This window comes from Homo sapiens, chromosome 1, assembly GCF_000001405.40.
Source record: "Homo sapiens chromosome 1, GRCh38.p14 Primary Assembly".
Classification (NCBI taxonomy): domain Eukaryota; kingdom Metazoa; phylum Chordata; class Mammalia; order Primates; family Hominidae; genus Homo; species Homo sapiens.
The window spans coordinates 61990766-62004710 of NC_000001.11; the positions used below are offsets into that span (position 1 = coordinate 61990766).

Genomic DNA, 13945 nt, shown 5'->3' on the forward strand with positions numbered 1-13945 from the left:
GATGTTAGAGCCAACAAGAGCCTGTGAACTTCTCAAAAATAATAGTTAATGTCTGTGAAGTTCAGGATATGGGTAAGGCTACATAGGTTCTTTCTTTAGGAATAGAATAGACAAAAGAGAAGCTAAGAAGATGACTGATCCTCTTTTAATTACTCCAGATAATTTCATTAATAATCTGAAAAGGTTATTCTTATTCTTCTACACTTAAATTTAAGGTATCTGTTCTGAGCTTATCTTAGTTTGATACTCATTTGCTTGTTCATTCACTCATTCTTTCAGCTAACACTTTTGAGTGTCTATTAGGACCAGAAACAGAAAAAGAGATGAATACATCCAGTTCCTTCATTAGTATAGCTCACAGTCTAGAAGAAGAAAACAGACGTGAAAAGATATTTATACTACAAAATAAGAAATGCAATGATGATGATGATGATGATGATGATGATGATGATGACAATAACAGCTAAAATATACCTGGTACCAAACACAACAACCTCTTTTACTGGTGAGATCACAAAGTAAATGATGGTGTTAGGATTCAATGGCAGGCAGTTTGACTTGTAGCTCTTTGTAAACCATTGTGCTTTAAAGCCTATTTGTTAAAATGTTCCAACTTTAGGACATTTAGGGGAGCTAAATCATGGAGACACTGAGTGTTAGACTGCTTACTTGAAATGAAGGCTTACTGATTTTGCATTTTACGATTTCCTCCTCAGACTCTGACTCAGAATAGAATTTACAGTCATCCATAATTTTACTTGCCTAATAATAACTACTGCCACAGCTGGCCAGGTGCAACAGGAAGACCATCGCCATCAACTCTTTCTTCCAAACCTTGGTTGCTTCTCCCCACTTAAAACCTGTTTCTGCAAAGAAGTCACTTCCAGGATTACTTTTCTTTTCTTGTTCTTTTATAATATAGCACCACGAATGGGACCCACATTGGGTCGTAACACTGACTAGCATAATCATTACATAAATAAAGTCAAAGATGACCTTATGTAACCAATATTATTCATTGCCTCAGTTTGTTTCCTTTGGCTTATGTTTAGAGACTTCCTCAGAGATGAGACAAAAGTGATGCTGGTAGTAAAAATGATGAAAGTTAGAGCCAGTGTACTCAGTTATTGCTAGCACTGTGCATATGCATTGTACATATTTGTATTCGGTATTCTTAAAAATCCTTTATGGTAACAACTATTATTATCTCCATTTTATGGATTAGAAACTGGGTAAATAGTATACCTAATATTGCAGAACTAAGTGAATAAGTGTGGATAAGAACTCAGGCTTGCCAGACTCCAAGACCCGTGTTACAGCCACTAAAGTATACTATGTTCCCTGTGGGATTCTTTTTTTTTTTTTTTTTGAGACGGAGTTTCACTCTTGTTGCCCAGGCTGGAGTGCAATAGCACGATCTCGGTTCACTGCAACCTCTGCCTCCCAAGTTCAAGAGATTTTCCTGCCTCAGCCTCCCGAGTAGCCAGGATTACAGGCAAGTGCCACCATGCCCAGCTAATATTTGTATTTTTAGTAGAGATGGGGTTTCTCCATGTTGGTCAGGGTGGTCTCGAACTCCCGACCTCGGGTAATCCACCCGCCTCAGCCTCCTAAAGTGCTGGGATTACAGGCGTGAGTCACCAGGCCTGGTCCCCATGGGACTTCTTTAACCAACCCAATTTGTTTAGATTCAGGAGATTCCTGATTTTTGATGCTTTAGTCTTCAGGGAATCATGTACATTAAGTCACTCTGTTATGTTATACATATCTAGACAGAGATTTCCTGTCTTGCTTGGTACATGGAAATACTCCAAAGGCTATAATTTGGAATATGAAGATTCTTGTTCTGTTCTTTCTACCTTATTAAGACTCAAGATGGAATGTCCTGTGATATCCAGACCAACAGGAGCATGGGTATTTTATTTCTCTGTCTGACATTTTATTAGACAGTGGTAACAAATGAGCTGTGGCTGCAGAGTAATGAGAGTGTTTTACAGGTCAAACACAAAATTCAGCACTATGTATGTGGCAGCAAGCACTGGACTTGGAAGACCTACCGTAACTTGTCTCGATTCTTTTGGTTATTGGTTGTATTTCAGAAGTTGCTCAGCATAATGTATGTAAGAGGTAAAGAGTTTTCCTTCTCTTAGACAGCAGAACATCAACTGACATCAAGTGTGTGAAGACTATCCCCCACATACCAAGCAATTCTTCAGCTGACACCAATTGAGTATCCTATGATTCAATTCAATTCTGACACTAGGTACCTGGAGACAGCGTCAGTCCCACAAGTTAAGGGCTCAGTCCCACAATACTGTCTCCCACCACTTTAGAGGCTGTTTGCAATCCCAGGTTATGACCTGAACTTCTGACCAACCAGCTCTTAATTGGGAGTTCCCATTAACCCCTAACTCAGGTTTGATTAATTTGCTAGGGTGGCTCACACAAGTCAGGGAAACAATTTACTTATATTTAGTCATAAAGGAAGTTACGAAGATACAGGTGAACAACCAGATGAAGAGATAGATATACAGATTGAGGTGTAAGTGAAGGGGAGGGCAGAGTTTCCATGCCCTGTCTGGGCGTGCTACCCACCAGACAGGTCCACGTGTTCAGCAAGCCAAGAGCTCTTCAAACCCCATAGTTCAGGGGTTTTTATTAAGGCTTCATCATGTAGGCATGAGCAATTATTACCTCATTCTCCCTGAGGGTCGGAACTGAACATTCCAAGCTTTTAGCTGTGGTTTGGTCCTTCTGGCAATCATCTCCCATTCAAGAACCCACCAAGAGTTGCCTCATTAGAACAAAAGACACTCTTGTTACCCAAGGAATTCCAAGGGATTAGGAGCTCTGTGTCAGGAACCCAGATCAGAGACCAAATATTAAAACAAGAGATGTACCTAACACCTAGCACCCCTGTTGCTCAGGAAATTCCAAGGGTTTTAGGAGCTCTGTGCCAGAAACTGCAAGCAGAGAACAAATATGTATTTCTGATTATATCACAATAGCACAGCATGGTGAATAGTTAACTGTTAATGAAAACAGACTTCCACTCCCTTAGAAACTTCCGGTATCTGTTTGCTAAGCTAGAGTCTAGAAGAACTCTGCTGGATAAAAAATAACATTTTGCTTTATTGGACTCCTCCTATGCTTTCCTTTGACTTTCGGAATTTGGCCCTTTCATTGCAATTCAGCAATTTCATCTTCATTCAGAGATGGAATGAGCAAAAAGATTAAACATACCAATAACTTAACTCCCCATCACTCCACAAAGATTCTCTAGTTTAAAAAAAAATAACGAATAAAAATATGTTGGAATATAGATTCTGGCATCATGTATTTTTGGCTAATTATTTATCTTCTTTAAGCCTCAGCTACCTCCTTTTTCAAATGGAGAAATTAATTCATTCAGCAAATATCTTACTGTGCATCTGTCATATAGCAGGTGCTGTATGAACAAAGTGTAGATTCTCTGCTGGTGAACAAAATACATAATACCTGCCCTCACAGAGCTTCCAGTCTAGTGATTGTACAGCATCAACCTCAGAGGGTAGTGTGGGAATTAATAAGAGTATCTGGTACATAGCAATACCTTAATACATTTCAGATGATTTTGATTTTATTCATAATTTTTTTTCAGCGTTGTATAGCTCAGTTCTTTTTAGTTCATTTATATTAATGCCTTTGTCTCTGAAAGTCTGTCCCATAGGGAAGTCATCTTTTTATTCCTTGATGGCTCTATGCAACATCCTGAAGAGCTGGGAGAATGGAAAAATGCATATACAGGATTCTTTTTTTTTTTTCCCAAGACAGAGTTTCACTCTTGTTGCCCAGTCTGGAGTGCAATGGCGCCACCTTGGCTCACTGCAACCTCCACCTCCCAGGTTCAAGCAATTCTCCTGCCTCAGCCTCCCAAGTAGCTGGGATTACAGGTGCATGCCACCACGCCTGGCTAATTTTTTGTATTTAGTAGAGATGGGGTTTCACTATGTTGGTCAGGCTGGTCTTAAACTCCTGATCTCAGGTGATCCACCTGCCTCAGCCTCTCAAAGTGCTGGGATTACAGGGGTGAGCCACCATGCCCAGCCCATATACAGGATTCTTAAGCATTTATAACCCATCTTCTCATTGGGCTTTAGGTCAGAGATGATAGAGAATTAAATTCATGTGAGAACCATTTCCCTGTTTTCTTTTTATAACTCAGAAAAATTTGCAATTATTACTCTATGATATGTGAAGAATTTGTATGTAGTATAATATCAAATCCAATGTGCTTTTGAGCTGAGTATAGGAAATTTATTTAATGATGAGTACCAAGAAAGCTAAAGCCAGTGTTATAATAGCTGTTCTTTGGATATTGCAGTGTAGTAGATTGTAGAAGTATACTGCATTATATGGGAAGCATTTGCAAGTGGGCTTTTAGATTATACCTATTGGGTTTCTGAGAGCAAATCATGAGTGGTTGCTTTACCCCCTGACACTGTTTATTTTTATCGTCTCTCCCTCAATTGAAGTAAAATGCTCAATGTCTTGATTATTTTTATAACTTCATTATTTGCACATATTATTTATCATTATTGTTTTGTCTCTATGATATGGCTTTGCTCACAGCCTCCTTTTAGTTATATTTGATCTTAATTCCTTCAGACGCTTAGATGAGGTTAATTTATAGAAAATAGCAAAAAGAGAGGTTGAGCATACATTGTGGCTTCTTTGAAGCCAGAAACTCAGCTTCTCTTTGAGAGCCCTGTCCATGACACACTTTTGGTGTGACATTTGCTAGCAGTTTTGTTGCTGCGGGACTGCACCATTACAGTGGAAGAGCATTCAGCAAATTCTGTCCATCAATGGCTTGGTTCACATACAAAAGAAATTTTACATTAAGCCCCTAAAAGACAATATGATTAAATCTCAGCTTCTTTGCCCTTTACTTCCATGCTAGTAAGAGGGTTACTGAATTAATTTCAAAAGGCATTAACATATAATCACCATGTGGACTGGAATGAGACTTATGCTAGAGTATTGGCTTTCCCAAAGCAATTAGTCCCGGAAAATGCACAGGCCTGAGCATGGGGCTGTCATATGAATACAGGATTCATTTATAATCTTCCCTTCAGTGCCAATGTAGGAAAAAAGAGTTGATGGTGCTGTGCAGGGAATTGGAGTGATTTGTCAGGTTCCAGAAGCAGCCAGAAGGAACAAAGTGGGTGGCACAAGAGGTGCACAATTGATTGGGCTAGTGTATTGAGCTGTGTTTTGTCTGCCTCCCAAGCCTTTTGAGATAGAAGAAGTATGCAGTACATTCCCTTTGTATCATTCACCTAAAGGATAACCCAAGTAAAATCCTGTCATTTTGCTTATGTGTAAAATGATATTTAAGAATCATGAAAAATCAAAAGCATGAATGTGTCCCATATTTTTCAGGGATAAAGACATAGAGCTACAGGTAATCTCAGATCTCAGTGTCCAGTAATATTTATTTTATAAGAGAAAAAACCGAAACCATAAAAGTTAAATGACTGGCCCAGGTATACATGCAGCTGCTTCATGCAAAAGTCCTACCAGGAGCCCTTACCAGCACCACTGTCTCAGCAGTTTATCCCTGACTTTCTGCTTGCTGCCAGTGAATTGTTTTTGAAATCTTTTGGAAAACTTAGATGTGTTTGGAAGTACAGTAGAGTACTTAATAAATCACTAGCTTCTGTGTATGTATGGATAAGATTACTTATAATTTATAGTCAGAAGCTTCTGTCATCTAGATTGGCTTTTTTAGATTACCATACATGGATGCAATTTTATGAAGTGTGTTTCTTAATGAAATAACTATGCCCTCAGAGACCTCATGTAATAAAATATCCCATTATAGAAACAGTAGTTTGAGGAACAGGAAGAAGAACAAAGAATTAAAAATTGCAAGAAAATGACTTTTCCTGTAGCTTTATTAATAGAGATAGGTTCTTTTTTTCTTTTCTTTTCTTTTTTTTTTTTTTTTTTTGAGATGGAGTCTTGCTCTATCGCCCAGGCTGGAGTACAGTGGCACAATCTTGGCTCACAGCAACCTCTGCTTCCTAGGTCCAAGTGATTCTTGTGCCTCAGCCTCCCGAGTACCTGGGATTACAGGTGCATACCACCATGCCCGGCTAATTTTTGTATTTTAGTGGAGACGGGGTGTCACCATGTTGGCCAGGCTAGTCTCGAACTCCTGACCTCAAGTGATCTGCCCGCCTTGGCCTCCCAAAGTGCTGGGATTACAGGGGTGAGCCACTGCACCTGGCCAGAGATAGGTTCTAAATAGCTAAAAGTGTAAAAATAAATTGATCAAGTGTTCGATTGTAGCTATGGTTTCACTAATACTAAATACTATTCACTAATACTAAAATATTACACTTTAGTATGTGATTTGCTATATGTCAATATTGTATCTCAAAGCTATTAAAAAATGAGTGATTAAACCTGACACAAATACATATTGTAAGCAAGCCCTGAATATGACCTTCCCATATGCAGAGCCAAAGTCACCTCATTTTGTTACTCGTAAGATGATCTGCAACCCGGTTCACAACTCTAAAAGTCACCAGAAGACTGTGGTGCTGGCTGAGTGGTCAGCCTCACACACTAAGTGCAGTCCTCTGGTCATTACAGCGTTGTAACCAATAGCTATCTGTGTCTTGCTAATCATGTTCCTTAAGTAATCAGTTGTGTTATACTCAGTTTCAGTTACAAAAGACTTGCTCATTAAAAGAAATTGAGAGTGTGGTTAGGGTGCTGAATAGGGAATTGAGCTAACATTGAGTACTTAATTATTTGCCTGGCAGTAGGCTGTGTTTTTAAGTTATTTGAGTTCTGGATTAATAATGATTCTAGAAGGTAATAAGTGAATTCATTACCGTTTTGTATTAATAGTTTTAGTAGATAAAGATTAATGCAATTTATCCAGTACTAGTTTAAAACACCCAAGATAGTTTCTCACAATACAATTCCATGCTATTCTTATCTTCTTAGTTTTTTATGTGTGCGGTTTTTTGTTTTGTTTTGTTTTGTTTTGTTTTGTTTTGTTTTAAAAAAAAAAAAGACAGGGTCTAGCTCTGTCACCCAGGCTGGGGGTGCAATAGAATGATCATAGCTCACTGTAACTTGAAACTCCTGGGCTCAAGTGATCCTCCCTCCTCAGCCTCCTGAGTAGCTAGAACTATAGGTGCATGCCACTGTGCCCAGCTTATATATGTATATATAATATATTATATATATTAATTATATATAATATATTATATATTTATTATATATATTATATATAATAAATATATATTATATAATATATATTTTTTTCTTTTTGAGAAAGAATCTCACTCTGTCACCCAAGCTGGAGTTCAGTGGCATGATCTCAGCTCACTGCAACCTCCACCTCCTAAATTCAAGCTATTCTTCTGCCTCAGCCTCTCGATGAACTGAGATTATAGGCATGAGCCATCAGGCCTGGCTAATTTTTTTTTGTATTTTTAGTAGAGATGGGGTTTCACCATGTTGGCCAGGCTGGTCTCGAACTCCTGACCTTAAGTGATCTGCCTGCCTCCGCCTCCCAAAGTGCTGGGATTACAGGCGTGAGCCACTGCGCCTAGCCCAGCTAATTTTTATTTTATTTGTTGTAGAGTCAAAGTCTTTCTGTATCGCCCAGGCTAATCTCCAACTCCTGGGCTCAGGCAGTCTTCCCACCTCAACCTCCCAAAGGGCTGGAATTACAGATGTGAGCCACTGTGCCCAGCCTGTCTTCTAAAAATTTAACGCCACTTTGAATTAATTAAAAGCAGAATGTAGTTAGTGAAATTATGTTCATCACTTAAGAACCAAAGAAGAAGAAAATTTATTTTTTGAGCTTGTTCTTGCACTAGGAGAGCTTGTCTGAACTTCATAATTAAAGACCTTTACCCTTCAGTTCCTTCATAGAGTTCGAGTTTTATTTTCCAACTGCAGGAACTATTATGTAAAACCTAGTTCGTATCGGTTGGCCTCATTCTTTTTTGTTTCCTGCTGTGAAGTCTTTGAGCTCTATTTCTGCCATTTTTGTTTCTGACTATGGCTTGTTAGGGGAAGAGTTAAATTATTTAGTCATACTTCCTTATGCCACTGAAATATTGAGGCCAAAAATCCATATTCTTGTCTTGGAGGAAGGACAATCGTTTATTTTTTATTACTGCAGTCCTCATTATTGCTCACACAAAAGCTTTATGTGTGGTCTCTCCAGTGAGCCAAATTATCTTAAAATTATGGAAAGTGCCATGAAAATAGAAAGTAAAAATGATGATTGAAGAAGCAGATTACTGAAGAAATCTGTTAAAAAAAAAATAGCGACAGGAATGTATGCTGGGGAAGAAATTTATGGAAGGAGTAATTTTCAGCAGTGCCTCTCTCGACTCTTCTTTCTGCGATTTTCCCCCATGTCTTCCATAACCTACTGGGATTGTTCTCTGGGCCTCCATTTCCTCCTTTGTCCAGCGCTTTCCCAACTTCCTTCCTGTCCTATGGATATTGTAGTGACTGTAGTGAAATGCAGCCTGGAAAAATATGCTCTTAGAATTGAGAGAAGTTTTCTTATATTAGCCTTTTGTATTTTACTTTATTTGTATATTTTCTGCCCCATTAACAGTATATAAGAGAGGCACTTTGGGAGGCTGAGGTGGGCAGATCACCTGAGGTCAGGAGTTCAAGACCAGCCTGGCCAACATGGTGAAACCCCATCTCTACTAAAAATACAAAAATTAGCCAAAAATGGTGGTACACAGCTGTAATCTCAGCTACTCGGGGGGCTGAGGCACAAGAATCGTTTGAACCTAGGAGTTGGAGGTTACAGTGAGCTGAGATCACACCGTTGCACTCCAGCCTGGGTGACAGAGTGAGACTCTATCTCAAAAAAACAAACAAAACAGAAACCAGTATATAAGAGAGACCGTTCCACTCCTTCCACCCCAAAAGCTAGCAAATACTGGGTATTATAAGATCTCAGGCAACCTGATAGGTGAAAGTTTTGTCATTACAGAAAGTTTTTCACACATATACATATACAGTTAAGGAAGAAAGTAGTAGTGTGCTGAGGTGAGGCAGAGTTGTGGTTTTTGTTTTTGTTGTTTTTTTGGGTTTTTTTAGGCAGAGTCTTGCTCTGTCACCCAGACTGGAGTGCAGTGGTGTGATCGCAGCTCTGCAACCTCTGCCTCCCAGGTTCAAGCAATTCTCCTGCCTCAGCCTCTCAGCCTCCTGAGTAGCTGGGATTACAGGCGCCTGCCACCATGCCCGGCTAATTTTTGTATTTTTAGTAGAGATGGGGTTTCACCATATTGGCCAGGCTGGTCTCGAACTCCTGACCTCAGGTGATCCTCCCGCCTCGGCCTCCCAACGTGCTGGGATTGCAGGTGACAGCCACCGTGCCCAGCCTAGAGTTTTTTGTTTTTTTTTTTTTATACTTTAAGTTTTAGGGTACATGTGCACAATGTGCAGGTTAGTTACATATGTATACATGTGCCATGCTGGTGTGCTGCACCCATTAACTCGTCATTTACGTTAGGTATATCTCCTAATGCTATGCCTCCCCCCTCCCCCCACCCCACAACAGTCCCCAGAGTGTGATGTTCCCCTTCCTGTGTCCATGTGTTCTCATTGTTCAATTCCCATCTATGAGTGAGAATATGCAGTGTTTGGTTTTTTGTTCTTACGATAGTTTACTGAGAATGATGAGTTCCAATTTCATCCATGTCCCTGCAAAGGACATGAACTCATCATTTTTTATGGCTGCATAGTATTCCATGGTGTGCACGTGCCACATTTTCTTAATCCAGCCTATCATTGTTGGACATTTGGGTTGGTTCCAAGTCTTTGCTATTGTGAATAGTGCCACAATAAACATACGTGTGCATGTGTCTTTATAGCAGCATGATTTATAGTCCTTTGGGTATATACCCAGTAATGGGATGGCTGGGTCAAATGGTATTTCTAGTTCTAGATCCCTGAGGGATCGCCACACTGACTTCCCCAAGGGTTGAACTAGTTTACAGTCCCACCAACAGTGTAAAAGTGTTCCTATTTCTCCACATCCTTTCCAGCACTTGTTGTTTCCTGACTTTTTAATGATTGCCATTCTAACTGGTATGAGACGGTATCTCATTGTGGTTTTGATTTGCATTTCTCTGATGGCCAGTGATGATGAGCATTTTTTCATGTGTCTGTTGGCTGCATAAATGTCTTCTTTTGAGAAGTGTCTGCTCATGTCCTTTTTGATGGGGTTGTTTGTTTTTTTCTTGTAAATTTGTTTGAGTTCATTATAGATTCTGGATATTAGCCCTTTGTCAGATGAGTAGGTTGCGAAAATTTTCTCCCATTTTGTAGGTTGCCTGTTCACTCTGATGGTAGTTTCTTTTGCTGTGCAGAAGCTCTTTAGTTTAATTAGATCCCATTTGTCAATTTTGGCTTTTGTTGCCATTGCTTTTGGTGTTTTAGACATGAAGTCCTCGCCCATGCCTATGTCCTGAATGGTAATGCCTAGGTTTTCTTCTAGGGTTTTTATGGTTTTAGGTCTAACGTTTAAGTCTTTAATCCATCTTGAATTAATTTTTGTATAAGGTGTAAGGAAGGGATTCAGTTTCAGCTTTCTACATATGGCTAGCCAGTTTTCCCAGCACCATTTATTAAATAGGGAATCCTTTCCCCATTGCTTATTTTTCTCAGGTTTGTCAAAGATCAGATAGTTGTAGATATGCGGCGTTATTTCTGAGGGCTCTGTTCTGTTCCATTGATCTATATCTCTGTTTCGGTACCAGTACCATGCTGTTACTGTAGCCTTGTAGTATAGTTTGAAATCAGGTAGCGTGATGCCTCCAGCTTTGTTCTTTCGGCTTAGGATTGACTTGGCAATGCGGGCTCTTTTTTGGTTCCATATGAACTTTAAAGTAGTTTTTTCCAATTCTGTGAAGAAAGTGATTGGTAGCTTGATGGGGATGGCATTGAATCTATAAATTACCTTAGGCAGTATGGCCATTTTCACGATATTGATTCTTCCTACCCATGAGCATGGAATGTTCTTCCATTTCTTTGTATCCTCTTTTATTTCATTGAGCAGTGGTTTGTAGTTCTCCTTGATGAGGTCCTTCACAAAAACTAACAAACAGAAAGGACGTGACAGCCCAGAGTTTTTAAAGCTGACACTTGAGTTGGGTTTTTCTCTTTCTTTACCACTGTAAAAAAATAATGAATGAGAATTGGGTGCTGGGTTTTGTTTTGTTGTTTTAGTGGTGGCAGGGAAGCTGGGGATGCGGGTGATTAGGCTGAGTATTACAGAGGTAGCAGGAGTCCCATAGCACCAAGTTCCATCTTCTTGTTACCCATTCCAGAGGCCCCAAACCTACCTAGAGGCTTTGGGATCAGGAGGCTTGAGCTTGGATTCTGGCTCTGCCACCTCCTTACCTAGAACCCCTTTGTAAGTCACTGAGTTTGTGAGTCTCAACGTCGTCATTACAAAAGTACAGAAACACCAACCTTCTCTTTCATGGTGGGTAGTGTGGTAGTACTGGACTCTGGATGAGTTATACTTTAAAAGCTATCAACTGTATATCATGTAATCCTGCCCCTACAGGACTGATTCACTAACAAGATAACTGTTTAAAAGAAAGAAAAAGAGAGCGGGGCGCAGTGGCTCACACCTGTAATCCCAGCACTTTGGGAGGCTGAGGCGGGTGGATCATTTGAGGTCAGGAGTTTGAGGCCAGCCTGGCCAACATAGTGAAACCCTGTCTCTACCAGAAATACAAAAAAATTAGCCGGGTGTGGTAGTGCATGCCTATAATCCCAGCTACTTGGGAGGCTGAGGCAGGAGAATCACTTGAACCCGGGAGGCAGAGGTTGCAGTGAGCCAAGATCGTGCCACTGCACTCAAACCTGGGCAACAAGAGCGAAACTCTGTCTCAAAAAAAAAAAAAAAAAAAAAAAAAGAGAGAGAGAAACTGGAGTTGGAAGGGAGCACAGTTAGGGAGTGATAGAGTCCTTTGATGACTGAATGGGTTTTTCACTATGTCTATACAAGGGACAAGTGAAATACTTTGAAGGCAAGAGAAAAAGATTTCTAGCAACAGAGAGAATTGAGGTGGGGTTCTAATTAGATCAGCTGTTTTTATGAAAAGGAGCAAACATTAAGCATTCCTAGTTTAGGGAAAGTCTTGACTGGTAGCATATATCAATGTTCTTAGAAGAATAAATTCCCGGTCATTGGTCACCAGTCCTGTCTGCTTAGGTGGCTAATAATACCATTGATAGAGTTAGGCTGTAATATCTCAATGTCCTAGGAAACCACTGATTCCTCTGTAATATAAGAGGTGGATTATACTGTGCTTTCATTCATTTATTCTTTCCTTTGCCATGCAGCTAATGGGAAATTACCTATAGTCACCTACTTCATTTGGTCAAGTGAAACAGCTTGTGGCAATTGGAGCAACTTTCACAGGAGTATTCAAAATTAGAACAACACAGAAACATATTTCTCTATTTTCTCGAAGTCAGTATTTTTCAAAAACATGTCAGGGTTTAGAATTCAAAAGGATATCTTACTCTTTTCCCAATATAACAAATTTAGACAGATGTGTGAGCTGCATATTACTATTATGCTGCCTTTAGAATGTATTTCAATTTAATTAGTTTTGTTTGAGAGAAAATAAATCTCTCATCTTTAAGCCTTTTAAATGAATGTGATCCTTTGGAAACATTATACTTCACAAGAAATAGATTAAATTGCAGCTGTGGAAGATCTTACTTCAGCACTGCGATTTCCATTAAACTGAGTCCTTGAAACCTGCTCCTTTGCCCAAGGTATTAAGAAGTGGCTGCTTGTTGTACACTATTTTGTCTTTTCCAAGGAAAAAATTAATGTGATAATTTATTCAGAAGTCTTTTTTCATTATTGTGAAATTGTGTTTCACCTGAGTTTCAGGCATCTGCCCTGTCCCATCCCTAGCCTGGTACTCCTTTCCTCCCTTTGGTTCTCCCATCTGCAAAGTGGGAGCAATGGTTTGGAAAGTGGGCATCTTCTTCATGGGGGCCAGTGCCCAAGATTTTTGGAAAGAAGAAACTACCTCTATTATCTCTGTCAGTCTACTTCTCTCCTCCCCACCCCGAAAGCTACACTGTAAAAGTACCTGTGGTTCCTACAGAGAGACCTTGAGTTTCACACCTGCGTGCCTTTCATATGCTTTTCCCCAGTCATGGAGTCCTCTTGCCACTCACTTCCCCTGTGCCTGCTAAGCTTCTGTCTAAACATCTGTCTACTGCTTCTTAAGAGCAAACTACCCAACTCCAAGATGAGACAATTGCTTCTTGTTTTATGCCTACACACATCATATGGCAATGCAATTATTTGTTTCCAAAACCATGTCACTTACAGAGTACCGGATCCTTGAGGGCGGCAACTGTATCTGACTAAATAAAGTCATTTCTACAAAGTGACTTTCAGAGAATCTGGTACCTAGAACACAGTGTTTAATACATGGCAGCTATGATGACAATGGTAATGAAAATTCCTGTATCCTCATCACTTATGCAATGATTGTTAAGTGAATAAATGGGTGAATATTCAACATACCTATTATACTTTTATTGGAATATTTCTTGGTCTGGGGTTTCTACTTTGTGAGCCCTATAAATTGGAATTCTGATTTCATAGGACTAAAAATGAGTTACTTATACTATGGCTTTTTTTCACCCCGAGTAAATACCCTTAGGGAATGTTTTTAATTAATAAGCTTTTAAACTGAAAGATATTTTGGCTATAAGTTCTGATTCTAGATGTGTTATGTTGGTCAAATTTCTTAAACTCACTGTGCCTCAATTTCTCCATCTATATAATGACGTAACCATGCAGTTCTCTACTGGTTTGAGTGAGACAAGTAATGTATTAGGCATGTGTGCACATGTATGT

The 13945-nt window shown here is 39.5% G+C and overlaps 1 protein-coding gene and 1 long non-coding RNA gene across 25 annotated transcripts in view; one reads left to right on the forward strand and one right to left on the reverse strand.

Annotated features, from left to right (window-relative positions):
* The window catches only part of PATJ (PATJ crumbs cell polarity complex component), a 421436-nt gene that overhangs the window by 248286 nt on the left and 159205 nt on the right, over nt 1-13945 (forward strand). Inside the window, exons 29-30 of one of the 23 annotated variants that reach the window (XR_007061928.1) lie at nt 280-505; nt 717-1009. The exons of 20 other annotated variants lie outside the window; for them this stretch is intronic. Coding sequence is in view for 2 of the 3 variants with exons in the window: in XM_005270347.3 (XP_005270404.1) it covers nt 717-752 (36 nt within the window). In the remaining variant the exon portion in view is untranslated. Of the gene's footprint in view, nt 1-279; nt 1010-13945 lie in introns of those variants that run through there. 2 more of the 23 variants (XM_006710278.5, XM_005270347.3) reach the window with 2 other exon arrangements.
* Nucleotides 1-13945, reverse strand: part of LOC107984965 (uncharacterized) — a 45543-nt gene that overhangs the window by 5100 nt on the left and 26498 nt on the right. Inside the window, exon 3 of one of the 2 annotated variants that reach the window (XR_001738096.2) lies at nt 11132-11216. The exons of the other annotated variant lie outside the window; for it this stretch is intronic. This is a non-coding gene — a long non-coding RNA (uncharacterized LOC107984965). Of the gene's footprint in view, nt 1-11131; nt 11217-13945 lie in introns of those variants that run through there. 2 annotated transcript variants of the gene reach the window in all.